At 41.7% G+C, this 17,402-nt stretch overlaps 1 protein-coding gene across 1 annotated transcript in view, besides 1 other annotated feature; it reads left to right on the top strand.

Moving 5' to 3' along the window:
- The window catches only part of LRMDA (leucine rich melanocyte differentiation associated), a 1,128,545-nt gene that overhangs the window by 150,716 nt on the left and 960,427 nt on the right, over nucleotides 1–17,402 (top strand). The gene's annotated exons all lie outside the window — the stretch shown is intronic.
- Nucleotides 14,805–15,631: an enhancer, noted in NCBI's record as "NANOG-H3K4me1 hESC enhancer chr10:77356902-77357728 (GRCh37/hg19 assembly coordinates)". NCBI's record gives its function as "activates a minimal SCP1, AML or CMV promoter by ChIP-STARR-seq in naive H9 embryonic stem cells {active_cell/tissue: H9 hESC(naive)}" and the evidence as "EXISTENCE:reporter gene assay evidence [ECO:0000049][PMID:30033119]".

Raw genomic sequence — 17,402 nt, forward strand, 5'->3', positions numbered from 1 at the left:
AGTCTCCCAAGCCCCAGCTCTTGCATTCTGTGCACCCACAGGCTTAACACCACTTTGAAACTGCCAAGGCTTATGGCTTGCGGCCTCTGAAGCAGTGGCCCAAGCTGTCCCTGGGCCCTTTTTAGCCATGACTGGAGCTGGAGTGGCTGGGATACAGGGAGCAGTGTCCTGAGGCTGGGCAGGGTAGCAGGGGGCCTTGGGCATGGCCCACGAAACTATTCTGACCTCCTAGGCCTCCAGGACTGTGATGGAAGGGGCTGCCACAAAGGCCTCTGAAATGCTTTCAAGGCATTTCCCCCATTGTTTTGGTGATTAGCAATTGCCTTCCCTTTAGTTATGCAAATTTCTGCAGCCTGCTTGAATTTCTCCCCTGAAAATGGGCTTTTCTTTTTTACTACATGGCCGGGCTGCAAATTTTCTGAACTTTTATGCTCTGCTTTCCCTTTAAATATAAGTTCCTAGTTTACATCATTTATTTGCTCGTGCATATAAGCATAGGTTGTTAGAAGCAGCCAGGCCATACTGAACACTTTGCTTCTTAGAAATTTCATCTGTCAGATACCCTAAATCATCACTCTCAACATCCTTAGGGCAGGCTCTTTGTACTCAAGCTCTTTGCTAAAGCATCACAAAAGCAACTGCTCCAGTTCTCAATAAGTTTCTCATTTCCACCTGGGAACTTCTCAGCCTGGACTTCATTGTCCATATAACTATCAGCATTTAGGTCACAACAATTTAACAAGTCTTTAGGAAGTTCCAAATTTTCTCTTATCTTTCTGTCTTCTTCTGATCCCTCCACACTCTCCCAACCTCTGGCTGTTACCCAGTTCCACAGTTGCTCCCACATTTTCAGGTATCTTTATGGCAATGCCCTGCTGCTTGGCACCAATTTTCTGTATTGGTCCATTTTCATGCTGCTATAAAGAAATACCTGAGACTGGGTAATTTACAAGAAAAGAGGTTTAATTGGCTCACAGTTCTGCAGGCTGTGCAGGAAGCACAGCAGCTTCCATTTCTGGGGAGGCTTCAGGAACCTTCCAATCATAGTGCAAGGCAAAGGAGGAGCCAGAATTTCACATGGCTGGGAGCAGAAGGAAGAGAGAGAGAAGGGGTAGCTGCTACATACTTCTAAATGATCAACTCTCATGAGAACTCATTCACTATTGTGACCAAGGAAGACGGTGCTAAACCATTAAAAACCGTCCCCATGATCCAATCATGTCCTATCAGGCCTCACCTCCAGTATTGGGGATTACAATTCAACATGAGATTTAGTGGTGACAAATATCCAAACTCTATCAACCTCTAATGCTGACCTCACTGCCTTTCCTCCTGCCCACCATCAGCTTTCTCCTCCTCTTGTATTTTTTTCAATTGCTGTCACCCATCCGTCAGTTCTCATCAACTTCTCTTTCTCCTTCCCCAGTCTCACATTGCACCAAATCAGTCATTAAGTCCCAATTTTACCACCTAAACAGTTCTTGAATTAGTCTCCTCTTCATCCCCACTCGAGGTGTTCTGGTTCAGGCTGTCCTCCTGTTTTAGCAGGCCTATGGTTGATGCCTCCCTGCCTCTTCTGCCCTCAGTTGTGTCTCCCACACAGTTCCTTGATGACAGACTTGATGTGGTCATTCCCCTTCCCAGCCCCCCCATAGGGACTGTCCTTCCTCTCTGGGAGGAAGTCTCATGTCCTTCACGTGGTTCGCAAGGACCTGTGTGATCTGTTTTTCGCCTGTTCTTCCCTGCCCTCATTCAGACTTTACTCTAAGACAATATGGGCTGCTTTTTCCCACAGCTAGCCCCTTCCCCTGCCACCCCCTGCTCCCCATAGGCCTTTTATTGCTTCTGTGCTTTTACTCATGATGTTCCCTAGGCTAGGAGCTGCCTGCATCTTCACTTGACTGGCCAGTTTCTACTCATTCCTCATGGCATATTGCTTGAGTAACCTCTGCTAGGAATCGTCTCCTTATTCTACCTCCCCCCTAGAAAAAACTGGCTTACGTGTTCCTCTCCTGTGTTTCTACTGCTCTCCATGTATGTGTCTATCATTCTAAGCCTTTTTTTGTGTCTTTTTCCCCATACAATAACATGACCACCTTCAGGAAAGGAATTATGTTTTACTCAATTTGTATTTTGAGGACACAGCCTGGTGCATGGTGGGTGCTCAGTGAATGTTTAGGTGGATGTGTGGATGGGTAGATGAGTGAATGAATAAATGCAGAAATCATTCAGAGAATAGGAGTTTTGTTGGGCTAGTGAGGTCTGGGGTGGTCTCTTGAAGAAGGTAGCATGTGGTTTAGGCTGTGAAGGATTTGGCATGGGGTGGTGAAAGATATATGAGACAGAAAAACTAAACTGTGGGTAATTTTTTGTCTCCTTTTGGGTGCTTTGCAAGTCACTGACTGTAGCAGCAGGCAACTAATGGCCAACAGCATTCTGACAGTGCTTGCTGACAGGCGATAATGAGATTAGTGCCTTTTGATTCCATTATTAACAAGTAGCCAAAGAATCATTTGGACATGTCAGGAGCTAATGATAGGAATTAAGGGTCCCTCTAACTTTGGGGCAGCAGTTCAGGTACCTGATGCTTTGAAGACTAATTGCAGACATTTTTTCCTAAATGTTTTAAAATAAATGTTTTTGCTGACATAGAACATACATCCAAAAAAGTGCACAAATCCGAAGTGTCCAGCTCGATTAATTATCACAAAGTGAACACAGCAGTGTCATCACTATTCAGGTTAGGATATAGAATATTCCTGGCACCCAGAACCAGAGACCTCTCCTCTTGCTGGTCCCAGTCACCGCTTGTACCCTTTCTCTCACCAAGGGCAGCTGCACACTGTCCTGTCCTCTAGCAGCAGAAGTTAGTTTTGCCCCTGTTAAAACTTTGTGTAAATGGAATCATATAGCATATTGCTCAAAATGTCCTTGCTTCATTTGTTCAACACAATATCTGTTGGATTTATCCATGTTAATGTAGCAATGGTTTGGGCATTCTCATTGCTATACAGTGTCCCATTGTTTGGATATGCAAAATTTTAAAAAGCTAATCTGGAAATTTGGGTTGTTTGCAGTTTTTGGTTATTTTGAATAATGTTGTTATGAACATTCTTGTCTGTCTTTTGGTGAATGTACCCATGTCCATTGGGTACATGCTGAGGAGCGGAATTACTGGGTCATAAAGTATGTGCATGGTCAGTGTTAGTAGATACCACTCAACAGTTTTCCAAAGTAGTTCTGTCAATTTGTGTTTTTACCAACAGGGATGAAACTTCTACTTATGTCATACACTTGGCACTATTTATTTATTTATTTATACATTTTATTTTATTGTGGTAAGAACATTTAACATGACATCTACCCTCTTAAATTTTTAGGTGTGCAATACATTATTGTTGATTGTAGATACAGTGTTGTGCAGCAGATCTCTAGAGCTTATTCATCCTTCTTAACTGAAACTTTATGCCCATTGATTAATAACTTCTCATTTCCTTCTCCCCTCATCCCCTGGCAACCACTATTCAACTCTTTGATTCTATGAACTTGACTGTTAGATACTTCACATAAGTGGAATCATGCAGTCTTCTTTTTTCTGTGATTGACTTATTTCATTTAGCATAATGTCCTCAAGGTTCATCCATGTTGTTGCATATTGCAGAATTTCCTCCCTTTTTTTTAAGGGTGGGTAGTAGTCTATTGTATGTATATACCATGTTTTCTTTATCCATCTGTTGATTGACATTTAGGTGGTTTCCACATCTTGGCTATTGTGAATACTGCTGCAATGAACATAAGAGTGCTAATGTATCCCTTCAAGATCCTGATTTCAGTTATTAATATTTTGGATAAAATACCCAGAAGTTGGATTGCTGGATCATATGATAGTTCTATGTTTCATTTTTTGAGGAACTTCTATACCTTTTTCCATAGAAGCTATACAGTTTTGCATGCCCACTAACACTGTGCAAGGGTTCCATTTCTTCACATCTTCACCAACACGTCTTTTTTTTTTTTTTTTTTTTTTTTTAAATTAGAGACAGGATCTCACTCTGTCACCCAGGCTGGAGTGCAGTGGTGTGATCACAGCTTACTGCAGCCTCTGCCTCCTGGGCTCAAGGGAGTCTCCCACCTCAGCCTCCCAAGTAGCTGGGACCACAGGTATGCGCCACCATGCCTGGCTAATTTTTGTATGTTTTCTAGAGATAGGGCTTCACCGTGTTGTCCTGAGCTCAAGCAATTCACCTGCCTTGGCCTCTGAAAGTGCTGGGAGTACAGACATGAGGCACTGTGTCTGGCCTGTCTTTTGTTTTTTTGATAATAGCCATCCTGACAGGTATGAGGTGATAACTCATGGTTTTGATTTGCATTTCCCTGATGGTTAGTGACATTGAGCATTTTTTTTTCATTGGTCATTTATATGCTGTCTTTGGAGAAATGTCTATTCAAGTTCTTAGTCCATTTTGTAATTGGGTTATTAGGTTTTTTTTTTTAACTATTCAGTTGTAGGAGTTGCTTATATATTTTGGAGATTAACCTCTTATCAGGCATATGGTTTGCAAATATTTTCTCCCATTCTATAAGTTGCCTTTTTACTCTGTTGATTGATTTCTTTGCTGTGCAGAAGTGTATTAGTCTGATGCAGTCCCACTTGTTTATTTTTCTTTTTGTTGCCTGTGCTTTTGGTGTCATATCCATGACATCATTGCTGAGACCAATGTCAAGAAGCCTTTCCTCGGTGTTTTCTTCTAGGAGTTTTACAGTCTTGGCTCTTACATTTCAATCTATTTTGAGTTGATTTTGTGTGTGTGGTGTCAGATAATCCAGTATTTATATTTCATCTATAATAAAATCTCATTCATTTGGATTCCATCAATATAGAACTTGGTATGCATTTAGGCTAAACAGAAATTTACATTCATAGTAGCTTTTGGTAGTGGGTTGAAAAGGATATTCACAATGCATTATAATATCCAGGGTTGCGTTTTTTTGTTTGTTTGTTTTTGTTTTTGTTTTTTTTCTGTTTCAGGGAACCTATTGAGTATTCTAGAGGCTTCTTAAAAGAAATAATATGCTGAGAAAAATGCATTGTTATCTTTTAATTGAAGTCTTTAAATGCATGTATTTAACAGCACTTTGCTAACCCATCTTTTATATACATGTAATCCAGAAAACTGTATTTAAAAGGCTGTGTATTATAAAATGGATAGACTAAATGGCATATCTTTATTCTCTAATGGGATACTGTGGTCCTCTGTCCGTGGCTCTATGAGGGTTGCTGCGACTATGGCAGTTGATGACGTACTGGTCAAACCTTTAGATAACTTGAACCTGGAAAGAATCTAGAATCAGTAACTTTGAATGACAGAATTGGGATCCAAAGATACTGTGAGAAGCTGGAAGATGGGTGGCCCCAATCTAACGTGATAGAGTGCTGGTCCCTATGGATGGCCACCCTTCAGTAGAGTGCCTGTCGATCCCTGGTCCAATCAGCCAAGGTCGGGAGCATGACTGACTGGTTCCAGTGTGTCCCTTCAGGCTCACCCCTTCACTGGGACAGTGGGCAGAGCTGGAAATCTTAAAGAGGCAGTGCGTGATGGTTGTTTCTTGTATAACCCCTAAAATCTTGTGTCCAAGGCCTCTTTTTGCACAACTGAATGCTGGATAAAGAGAAATGATAAAGGATTCTTGCTTATATTTTCTTGGTGAAACTGGACCCTGTTTCCCTTTGATCTGGTTCTTTTGTTCACTGATAATCTCAAGGGGGCACCATGCTTCACCTGCTGTGAAGCCAGCAAGATCTGAGAGAAGGAAGGTTGAATGAGGTTACAAGTGAGTTGTGGGATATCAGAGGTGTGAAGTGAGAGAGGTTTGTTACAATATAGAACAGAGTGCTGGAGCTGGGAGGAGGGAGGTGAGCAAGACACAGCAGGGAGGACTGGAGCAAAGGCAGAAAACAAGAGGACTTGGGAAATGTGCTACCATGACCTCCAGAAAGTGAAGGAATGGCCAAGAAAGAAAAGGGGCCAACGAGGGGCTTGTAGTCCTTTTGTCAAAAGCATGCTGGGTTGTATATGTTAAGTTGTGTAATTTTCCTTTCAGTCTAAGTCCAAAATGCATAGAAACTTCCCCACCCCTGCTGTATTCTTGCCTGGTCCATGTGAGTTCCTTCCCATTCACAGCCTTCTCTTCCCTATTTTGGGCATGCAGGTCTAACTCAATTGCGCTTTTTTGACTTTTAAAATATCCTAGCACTCTGTGAGTGGAGGTTTATTTATTTATTGTTTATCAGTTTCATTTTTTGAATAGGTAATACTCCCATATGATTTGAAAATTAAGAGAGATGAAAGATTATGAAAAGTTTTCCTCCCATTCTGTTCCCTATCTTCCCTGTTTCCATGACAACCCCTAAAGGTAACTATTACTAGTTTCTTTTGTATTTTTTCAGAGTTTCTAAAATTTTATATGTATAAGCAAGCATATTAAATATAGATTATGTCTTTGTCATTTATAAAAAAGATATCATTCTTTTCTTATTATTTGTGCCCTTGCTTTTTTGCATAACAAAAATACCTTCCCATTCCACACATAGAGAGCTTCCTCATTAAAATTTTATAGGTATATAGTGTTACATTTTATGGATTTATCCTAATTTGTTTATTCAATCCCTGTTGATGGACATTGTGCTTGTTTTCTTCCATTCACTATTAGAGCTGTAGTGAGTTACCTTAAACTGTCATTTTTGAATGTTTGCAAGTATGTCTGTAGGATAAATTCCCAGAAATTGACTTATTGGGTCAAAGGGAATATGCATTTGTAATTTTGATAGAGATTGCCAAATTGTACTCCTCAGGAGCTGAACTAATTTGTACTCTCACCAGCAATGTTAGGGACATGCTTGTTTTTCCACCGCATCACCAACAGAGCATGTTATTAAACTTTTGGATTTGGGCCAATATGATAGGTAAAAGAATGTTTTCTTAGTGTTTAATTTGCATTTCTCTTATTATGAATGAGATTAAGTATTCTATTATATATTTAATAGGTGTTTGTATTTCCTTTTCTGTGAACTACATGATCATATCCTTTGCCCATTTTTCTTTGGGTTTTTGTCTTTCTAAAATTGTTTTTGGCTGGATGTGGTGGCTCAGGCCTGTAATCCCAGCAATTTTGGTGGCTGAGGCAGGCGGACTGCTTAAGCTCAGGAGTTCAAGACTATCCTGGGCAACATGGTGAAACTCCCATCTCTACAAAAAAACAAAAACAAAACAAAAATTAGCTGTGAGTGTTAGTATGAGCCTATAGTCCCAGCTACTCAGGAGGCTGAGGTGGGAGGATCTCTTGAGCCCAGGAGGCAGAGGTTGCAGTGAGCTGAGATCATGCCAGTGTACTCCAGCCTGGGAGATAGAGACCCTGTCTAAAAAAAATATATATATATAGAGAGAGAGAGAGAGTTTTTGGAGCTCTTTGTGTATATATGTGTATTTTTTGGTGTGTGTTTAATTTTGTTTGTGCATGTGTGTACTCTATGGGTATGTAACTGGTCCTTTTTATGTGATTGAATGGTAAACTTGTTCACATTTTTGGGTTCACATTTTTGGTTATTCATTTTTAGTGGCTTTTTGTTTGCTTTATTTTCTGATTTGTCATGCAAAAATTTTGCTTTATCTGAAGATGATGATTTTTTTTTTTTTTTTGAAGATAGGGTCTCACTCTGTTGCCCAGGCTGGAGTGCAGTGGTACAATCAGGGCTCACTGCAGCCTTGACCTCTTGGGCTCAGGTAATCCTTCCCCTCAGCCTCCAAAGTAGCTGGGACGACAGGCATGTGCTATCACACCTGGCTAATTTTTTATTTTTTCTATAGGTGGGGGTCTCACTAAGTTGCCTAGGCTGGTCTTGAACTCCTGGGCTCAAGCAGTTTTCTGGCCTCAGCCTCCCAAAGTTCTGGGATTACAGGCATGAGCCACCACACCCAGCCGGAAGCTGATTTTTATGCAATTGAATTCATTATCTTTTATCTTATGGGTTTTGGATTTTTCATTATGGTAAATGGAATTTCTGGCTTTCTTCTAGTACTTTTATGGTTTCCTTAAAAAAAGTTTTGTTATTTGGAATTTAATTTGGTATATGACATCATCTGACTCAACTGTGAAAACAGTTGGGGAGTCAGATAGGAGATGAGGAGAAATGAACAAAAAGAAATCACAGTGCGGGACATGGAAGAGGAGTGAAAAGAGAATTAAAATGCTGGTAGGAGATGTGAGACTTGATAACAAATGCCTTGGAAGTTGGTAGCTATTATAATATATGGCATTTAATAATGCCTTAAATATTTTTTTTAAGACTTGAGATGTACCTAACTCCTAACTCTCACAATAAAATAGTCTTTTTTTTTTTTTTTTTTTTTTTTTTTTTTTTTTTTTTTTTTGAGATGGAATCTTGCTGTCACCCAGGTTGGAGTGCAGTGGCATAATCTCATCTCACTGCAATTCTGCCTCCCGGGTTCAAGTGGTTCTCCTGCCTCAGCCTCCTGCAGCTGGGATTACAGGTGTGCACCACCACACCCGGCAAATTTTTCTATTTTTAGTAGATGGGGTTTCACCATGTTGGCCAGGCTGATTTCAAACTCTTGACCATGTGATCTGCCCACCTCGGCCTCTCAAAGTGCTGGGATTACAGGCATGAGCCACCGCGCCAGGTCAGCAGTCATTTCTTTCTATAGTTTTGTGTTTTGTTTCTTAAAAGACAATCTGGAGCTGGGCATGGTGGCTCATGCCTATAATCCCAACACTTTAGGCAGGAAGATCGCTTGAGGCCAGACCAGCCTGGGCAACACAGTGAGACATCATCTCTACAAAACCAAAAAGCCAAAAAACAAAATGAAGACTGCCCCCCCACCCCATAATCTGATGCAAATATGGCTCAACATGTTAAGACTTGACAAAGTTGGGTGGGTACATGGATAGGGTATTCTTATTTCTTTGTTTTAGTAATTGCACAATAGAAATAGCAGTTAAAAACAGATGGGGCAAGGCTTTGTATCCTCACGGTTGTACAAATGTACCCCAAGTGACTGATGTGCCCCAGGTATATCTGGTGGCAGAGGTGGGTCTTAAGTCCAGGCTTTCTAACTCCTTCCTGAGGTCTTTTTATTTTAGGTCATGAGCAGTTTCCTTCGTCTTTGTACTTTAAACAAACAAAGCCCAAATTTCTATGCTTACCCTCAGTATAAGAGCAGTAACTTCTTTCTGCATGTTCTTGGAGATGTGAGAATAAAGATGTCATCTTGAAGTTTCCTCGCAGTTCTCCCCGTAATCGGGAATCCTCATTTGCACTCAGAAACCATGGGTCAAGTCTGACAGAGGTCTCTGATTTGTGTTTATAAGGATATTTTCTCTGAAACTGTGGGATAATTTTTAAGTAATTTATCAAATATTTATAGGGCCAGGCACAGTTCTAGGTGCTGGGGATATTGCTCTGAGTACAACAGAATCTTTGCTTTGGTGGAGTTTACCTTCTGGTGGAGGAGAGGGGTGAAAAACGTATCAGTCAATTCATAAATGAGAATCTCAGGTGAGATTTACTCTTCTCTGTGAAAAGTCAAAAGAAGTGCAGTGTCAGGAGATGGTGGGGGTGGTATGGAGGAGCAGGGGGCATGTTTAGGTGTGTGGGCAGTGAGGGCCCTTCCCTGAGGAAAGTGGCCAGTGGTGTGAACAGTGACCCAAGCAGAGGGAGAAAAAGCAACCCAGGCAGAGGGGACAGCATGACTTGAGGCCCTGATGTGGCAAAGAGGAATGAGCTGGGGTGCAAGGGCCCTTTGTTCCACAGGTTCAAAGCAGGGAGGAGGAGTGGTGAGAGCCGGGGCCTGACCAGCCCTGGCAGGAATGTGGTACACAGCTGCCCTGCCTCTGCCCGTCCCCAGCATTGCTGAGGTTGAATGACAGTTACTGGAGTTGATTTCTACCCTAGACGCGTGGCGCTTTTTGTTTGTCTGTTTGTGTTTTTTCTTCTTCTCACTTTAGGGCAGCGATAGGAGTCAAACCTCATCTGCTGCCCGAAGTTGTAATAAAGTCTTCACAGTCTCATTTCCTGTTCTGAGAGGACGTGCAAAGTATAGGCTTTCCTCCTCCACCGCGGAGATCTGGGACGGCAAGGCTATCCGTGGCATCGGGACGGCGGAGGCGGGGGCGAGGGGAGAGGGTCACCTCCTTTGATATTAATTCATCGGTAATGGGTATGAACAGAAAAAACCACCAAGCAGCACTGGGCAGCTCTACCGTCGTCGGGCATAACGGGTTTCCTCGCGGAGCCGCGTCTGACGCGGCAGCCCCCCAGGCTTCGGCTCAGCTCTCCTGTTCCTCAGTCTCGGTAAAATGGCTGTCAATCTATTTTAAGCGAGGAAAATTGAGGATGGTTTTTCAGTGCTATTGCTGGCTTAGTTATGTCAAGCGATTTCTTCAAAGAGTAATAATAGGTGCTGTCTTCAGAAATAGTTTAGTCACAGATGCCTAGTTTTAAAGTCTACTTGCTTCCCTCCTGTCCTTTTCTTCAGTCTTATCTCCTATGCCTGGAGTCGAGTTTCTTCCAGAGATTTCCTCTCATGGAGACTAGCAGGCTGCATTTCATTTCTGGTTTCCTTCCATAATCATCTCCACCCCCTCCTCCTCTCTGCTGAACACCCATGCCAAAGGTTCTGTCAAGCCGGCCAGTTGAGCACTTTGAAACACATTGTCAAAAAACGGAATGATGTCATGCGGAAAAGAGTCAACCTGGGGGCAGCGATGTTAATAAGTTAGCTCATTCCCTCCCCCATCCCAACGTTGGATAATTTATTTTTTAACCAGTTTTTACCAACCAAATGTTAACACATATGCCTGATTGTTAACCTCCTCTGGGCACCAAACCTGTTTTTTCTTGAGTGCAATAAGTGATTATCCAACTCATGCTGCTCCGAAAAAGAGGTTTTGTTTTAATAAGCAGTTTGCAGTTTGGCACACAATGCTGAGGAAAGCAACATTATCTCCAGCAGTAAACTCTGCAGTCATTGCAAAGCTTGACAAGAAAATGATTGAGTCTGTTTGTTATACCTTTGTGGGGCTGCCACTGCTGCTGCTGATGGAAATGTTGCTGTTTATTCAGCAATGCAATAACACTTTCTGTAATTTATGGATGCACATTCCCCAGATTACTAAAGGTAATATTGTTGACTAAAGAAAAGTATACGAATGGATAGTTTCAGTTGTTGCTGTCCTTATAAAAGTGATTGACTGTTCACTTTGCACAGGAAAGAATTTGCACAGGCTTCATCCCCCTTAACAATTACAGATTTTCCTTCCTCTGACAGTTACAAATAACATGGCTTGTCCTAAGTGGTAAAAATTTACTGATTCCATGGAAGTTCACGTCAGGGGCTATGTGGATCCTGTCGCCCTTATTTCCTGGCCAGCTCTCCCGCCTTGCCCCTTGGGGGCGCCAGACAAGCCATGCCTGGACTCTCGGTGGCCGTCAGCCTGAGAGAGGGGTGCCTGGCCAAGCGGCTTCCAGCCCCAGACCCTTGACTTTTCCCGTAAAAGGAGCTGCTGCTGCCGCGGGATGATCCTCAACCTTGCCTGGTGCCCTGCAGTGTGTGCTTGACATCTGATCTCAGGTGGTAGAAAAACACCTTTTGACCAGTTGTTCTGTGAGTAAGATTGGGTGAAGTTGGTCCTTTTGTCCCAGTAAATGTAGACAGATCCCTGGGCCATGGAAACCTGGCCACTCTTCTCAAAGTGTTGATTGGAAGACCGAAAATGTAGCATCAGGGTGCCCCGGGTGCCCCTGTTGATGGGCTAAGGAAGAGCACACTGAGAGAGCTCAGCAGGGCTGCCCTGAACCAGAGGGCCCAGCTCTGGGGGACCGGGATGCTGCTCAGAGGCCTAGCATTTGCTCAGTGAACGGTAGTTGGTGCTTTCTCCTAGGCCACCAGGGAATACCACTTTGGGTCTGAAGCCTGTCAGCCTCTGTGGGCTGATGGCCAACAGGTGGACAACATTTTGAGGTCCCAGGTTTAGCCCTTATTGAAATGGAGAAACAAGCTGCTCAGTGAGGGGCCTTTCAGGAAAAAAGAACTTCACAGGTATATTTCAAAGTGCTGCCTTTTCTTCTTGGGAAACAAGTAGTTACACAAATATAAATACAAAATACACATAAGGCATCATATGGTTTGCAATTGAAAGTGTCCTGTATTTTCTTCTGAGCAAACTCTCAATGGGCCAGTGTAGCTGTAACCAACCAGCACTGTACTTAATATGCCTTTGTCAGCCCTGAAGTTCTCCACTGAATGATTTGTTATTTAATTGGTCATAGTAGGGGGGATCCTAGCATATGCGAGACAGCGTTTGTTAAATCTCAGTGACTGATGTCTGGAAGGCAATAGTTAACAAAAATATTATTCATCATTTTGTTAGGCCAAACACATGCTGTTGAATAGAGAAGGGTTAACATAGGAATGATCTAATGTACTTGTTCTGGGTGAATGTTGGCTTGAAGATGAACTTTAGGTGAGACTCCCTGTTTTTTCCTATCCATGCCTCATCTGTTTGCATATGTTCACTATATATTGATGAAAGATGAAAAAGGCTGATTTAGTTTATGTAAATTATCTTTCTCTTATCAATTTTATAGGTAGTTGTTTGTTTCTTCCTCTATCTCATTATGTAAAGGTTCACTATGTAGTTGTTTTGGCTTATGCTTTATCAATTTTATTATGTGAAAATTTTGTTTGATTTTGACTTTTGAGCATGAAATACAAATCTTTTGAAATCCAAACATGCTTGTGAAATTCCAACCTGATTTTATTTACTAATGGCCCATAATCAAAGCACTCACTTTTGGTCATACAAATAATTACAAAATGATGGATTTGCTGAGTGTGGTTCCCTGTTGCAATTGAAGTTCAGTCAGCTCATGTCAGTCTTGACATTAACCAAACTGAGAAGGATAATAACAAGAATGTTACCAGGTGGATCTCAGCTCATCTAATTTGGATAATCCTAATCTCATCTAAATTTTAGAGTTCAGTTGGGTTTATAGACATTCTATTCTTTTCTCTAAATCTTAAATTAGCCATCTAATACTGACAGCTATGTTTTGGGCCAGAGTCTTCTCTCTCTTTATATATACATATTTATGTATGTTTATATATTAGTATGTATATTATGAGTATGTATTTTATAATCCACATATAATTATAATATATATAATTATAATTTTATAATCCACATATTAATAGTATTTCTGAGTGATAAGTGGTGTTATCACTCAGAAATTAAGAGTGAAAATTTAAAATTAAGAATGATAATTTAAAAGCAAATTATATGCTTTTAAATTAATATATATATTTTTAACACAAACTAGATGGTTTCCTTAGTCATAATGAAGAAGCAAGTTGAAAAGACTAGGAAATAAATTCATAAAAGATAGCATAGGAAAGACATTCAGTCCAGCTACATTGATCTCTGATCTGTATGTCTTAACCAAGTAGGTTACCACATTTTCAGAGATGATTCTCTTCATTTTTTTCTTTTTACTATACTGGAAGCTTATATTCTATGAGAAAAAAGTAATTATATCTGGAATCTTGGAGAGTACTAATAATGTGATGATAATATGATGATCTGCTTTTTTTCGCTATAGCAGTCATCACTTCTAGTGTTGTATGTTTGTTTGCATGTGTATATGTGTGTATGTATCTGTGTGTATTATCTATGTGAATGAATAAATGAAGATACTGTTTACTGTAAACTTAAATTTTTACAGGCATTTCACCCACATACTTTCCAAGGTAGATATGATTATGATCCCTACATGACAGGTGGTGAAACTGAAGCAGAGAGTATAAATATCACTTGCCCAATGTTACATAGCTCCTAAGTAAAAAAGCCAGGATTTAAAACGAAAATGTCCAGTCCTGGTATCTGCACTCTCCGCCCTTACGTTTGCTCCTGCTGAGGAGTGAAGGTGACTGTGACAGGATGCTTTGTTGGCACCATTGTTGCTTCTGAGTTTGTCCAGTTAGTTGGATGGCCAGTCACTTTGCCCTCATCCTTGGTCCATGTTTTCTTCCTAGGAGTCTCCTTAGCAACACATCCATTCAACGTGCACTTACAACAAACCCTCAAAGGCAAAACACCAAGTTCATTTTTCCATCTGAGTCTACTGAGATTTTTTTTTTTTTAAAATGACATATAATAATTGTACATGTTTATGGGGTACATAGTGATGTTTTAGCACATATGTCTAGTGATCATCAGCTCAGGGTAATTAGCATATCCATCATCTTGAACATTGATCATCCTTTGTGTTGGGAACATGCAACGTCCTCCTTCTAGCTATTTGAAACTATGTATTATTGCTAACCGTAGTCATCCTGCAGTGCTATAGAACACTGGAACTTACTCTCATATCTAGCTGGGATTCTATATCCTTTAACAAATCTGAGTGACTTTACATGAGCAAATGTGATACATGAGAAATTGTGCCAGTTACTTTTAAGCTGCACATTCCTCCACAGTAAGTGGAATTGGTGGGGCTTGAATAGTAGAGATAAAGAGGTTTTCTTTTTCTTTCTTTCTTTCTTTTTTTTTTTTTTTGTAAACTGCTCTTTCCTGTTTAAGGGCTCATGTACTTAGTTTCTTTTTCTCCCTCTCCCCCTCTCCCTTTCCCCTTGCTTTCTCTCTTTGAGTCCCGTGTTCCTTATTTGGCTAGAGAGTTTTTGTTTGTTTGTTTGTTTTTCCAGGGGTCCACTTAATTACAAAACCATGCCTAAAAATCATCTCCAAATTCTCAACTCCAGTCCTTCTTTTGTAATAAAGATGCAGTGATGACATCATGTGGTCTGCTGTTGATTTGAATGAAATGAGTATCTGATGAACGAATACCTTGATGTAACGTGATCATTTTTAGTAAGAAAAGTGGTCTGGGAGGTGGGGCTATGGACACATGCAGGGCTTTTGTTTTGGAGAAATCTTGAGGGTAGTTAAAACAATGGCCAGTGGCCTCAGACCCCTGCCCACTCCACCCAGTCCCCCACCAGTCTAAACATCTTGCTTTGTTAGCTGGACTGGCCCCAGGTGAGCCAGGAGGGGACTGGGAGGCACAGCCCCTGCAATCTGGGATATTGTTTAAATACCGTAAAAAGCCTCCCTCATTTACTCCTTGTGAGCACGGGAGAGAAAAAAGGTGTGGTAATCCTGGCGTAGCAGGTGGTGTGACTTTCATATCAGTCTAAAATGAAACTGTGGGGATGTTTTATCCCCCTCTCTCCCATTCACTTTTTTTAATCTTTAAATAAGACGATTGGTAGCCTGTTGGCAAGAAAATGGGCCCTGAATTTTTATTCAAAGTTATACAAGGATGATAGTTGGAATTTTTGGCAGGAGGCACGCCATTGCTTTTCAGAAAGTGCTGTCAAGGGAAGCTTTTTCTGAATTACCTGCTGGGCCTGGGCGCTTTTATGTTGTTGTTGTGACAGGTAGATTTATAAGGCTTGAAATTTGTACAAATCAGTTGTCATTCAGTGGGAGCTGTCAATGTGTCAAGCTGTCAGCCTGCTGCGAGGGGACGCCTGAGGGGGAGTACAAGGGGGCAGCCATGGAGAGAGGAAATGAGTTCAAACAGACCTGAAATGGAGCTCAGTTCTCGGGGTTTGCTGCCCCCGTAGAGCCGGCATTGATTTTTCTTGATGTTGAGCAACAGCAAACCTTAAATGACACGTTGTTAGCAATCTAAAGTTGCTGTTTATTGTCTTTTAAATGGCAGCAAATCATGCAGAAGAGAATACAGTGTGTATTTTCGAATTGTGCATGTTTAGCAGCATCCTGTTCATGTCACTTTTCTGGCCTGGCTGGTTTCAACCAAGGGACCTGCTGCTTCACTGATGAGTCCAACTTTCGGTAGCATTTTGCAGACGCAGCGTGAAAGGAAGCTGTGTGCTCGTCTCTCCCTGGGCTATGGCTCGCTAATAAACACAATATTAAAGAAGCAGTGGGTTGATGCTGTTTAGCCTAAAAAAGAGAGTCGTCGTGTCCCTAGCCTGGCCTTACCTCTCTTTTAAGACAGAAGGCCTCAGCTGAGAGGGCTTTCCTGGACAGTGCTGGACGATGTAGTATGTTTTCTGAGAGAGCTGTCCATGACATCTCCTTCTACTTCAATTATTTAAAGAAAAAAAAAAAGCATCAGGAAAATGCTCTGTTACTACCCAAAACAATCTGGTGAATTTCTCCATTTGTTTAAAAGCATCTTCATTCTATAGTAAATATTTGGTGTGGTTCAGATCGTCTTTGCTTGCCTCGCGTACGACTCCTGCGAGGCTTCATATGTAACTCCTTTCGTTCTCCTCCTTCCGCGGTCTTTCTTACGCATACCTAGTATATAGAGAAATTTGAACCTTTTGCTAAGAAGTTATGGAGGGGGCAAAAAAGCATATTTCTGAAAAATAAAATCAAATAGACATGAAGGGCCTTACTTTTTCAATGTATGTGGCATTTAGCAAAGCACCTGGGCTTCTGTCTAGATGTTTAAGCCTTTGCACCTTTGGACAGAGTGTCCAGGCTTTAATCAGTTGTATGATTTCCGCTGATTTTGTGCATTCCTTGTCCATCAGGTGGCAAAGAGGAGAGGAGGTGGGGGCAGGGGCAAGGGAAGAGGCCAAGAAGGGGAGAGGTGGCTGGGGATGGAAATGGGAAGGTGACACTTGAGGAGCAGTCAGCACCAAGAGGTAAAAAAATTAATCTAAGATTTCCATCTAGCCATTACCGGCTGGCGTTCACGGCCTCTGAGCCTCTGAGCTAAAAAGTCTGCAGAGAGTCTCCTGGCGCTACAGAGTTTGTCTTGTAAAAGTGCAGCTGTCCAAAACATGACAGCTACAGCATTAGCAGGGCCATTAAGAGGTGTAGAACATTTCCAGGGAAATGATTTGAAAAATGACAATGCTGGCTCCTGTGTGATATTAATTATACCCTGTACTCATGGCAAATAAGCTAAAATCGCTGGCAAGAAAGACTAAGTGAGGTGTCCTGGTTCTGACCGTCATTCGGATCAAACAGCCGCCAAGCTGGTGAGGGCTTTATGGTCCACAGGTAATTGTAGGGTGAGAGGTACATGCTGGAAACCATCAGTCAGGGCTGTGTCTGGAGGATGGTCTTATGGTGAGTATGGATTGCAGGCAGCTGGGGCAAAGCAGGATGTCCATGGAGACGGCGGGTAGTAGAAGGTAAAAGGTTGGCAGGGCTGTCCTCCATCCATAGCATGTAGATCCAAGCTGCGCTGCCCAGCAGACCTTTCTGTGATGATGGAAATGTTCTACATCTGCAGTGTCCAATATGGTAGCCACTAGCCACATATAGATATCGAGCACTTCAAA

Source organism: Homo sapiens, chromosome 10 (assembly GCF_000001405.40).
Source record: "Homo sapiens chromosome 10, GRCh38.p14 Primary Assembly".
NCBI lineage: Eukaryota > Metazoa > Chordata > Mammalia > Primates > Hominidae > Homo > Homo sapiens.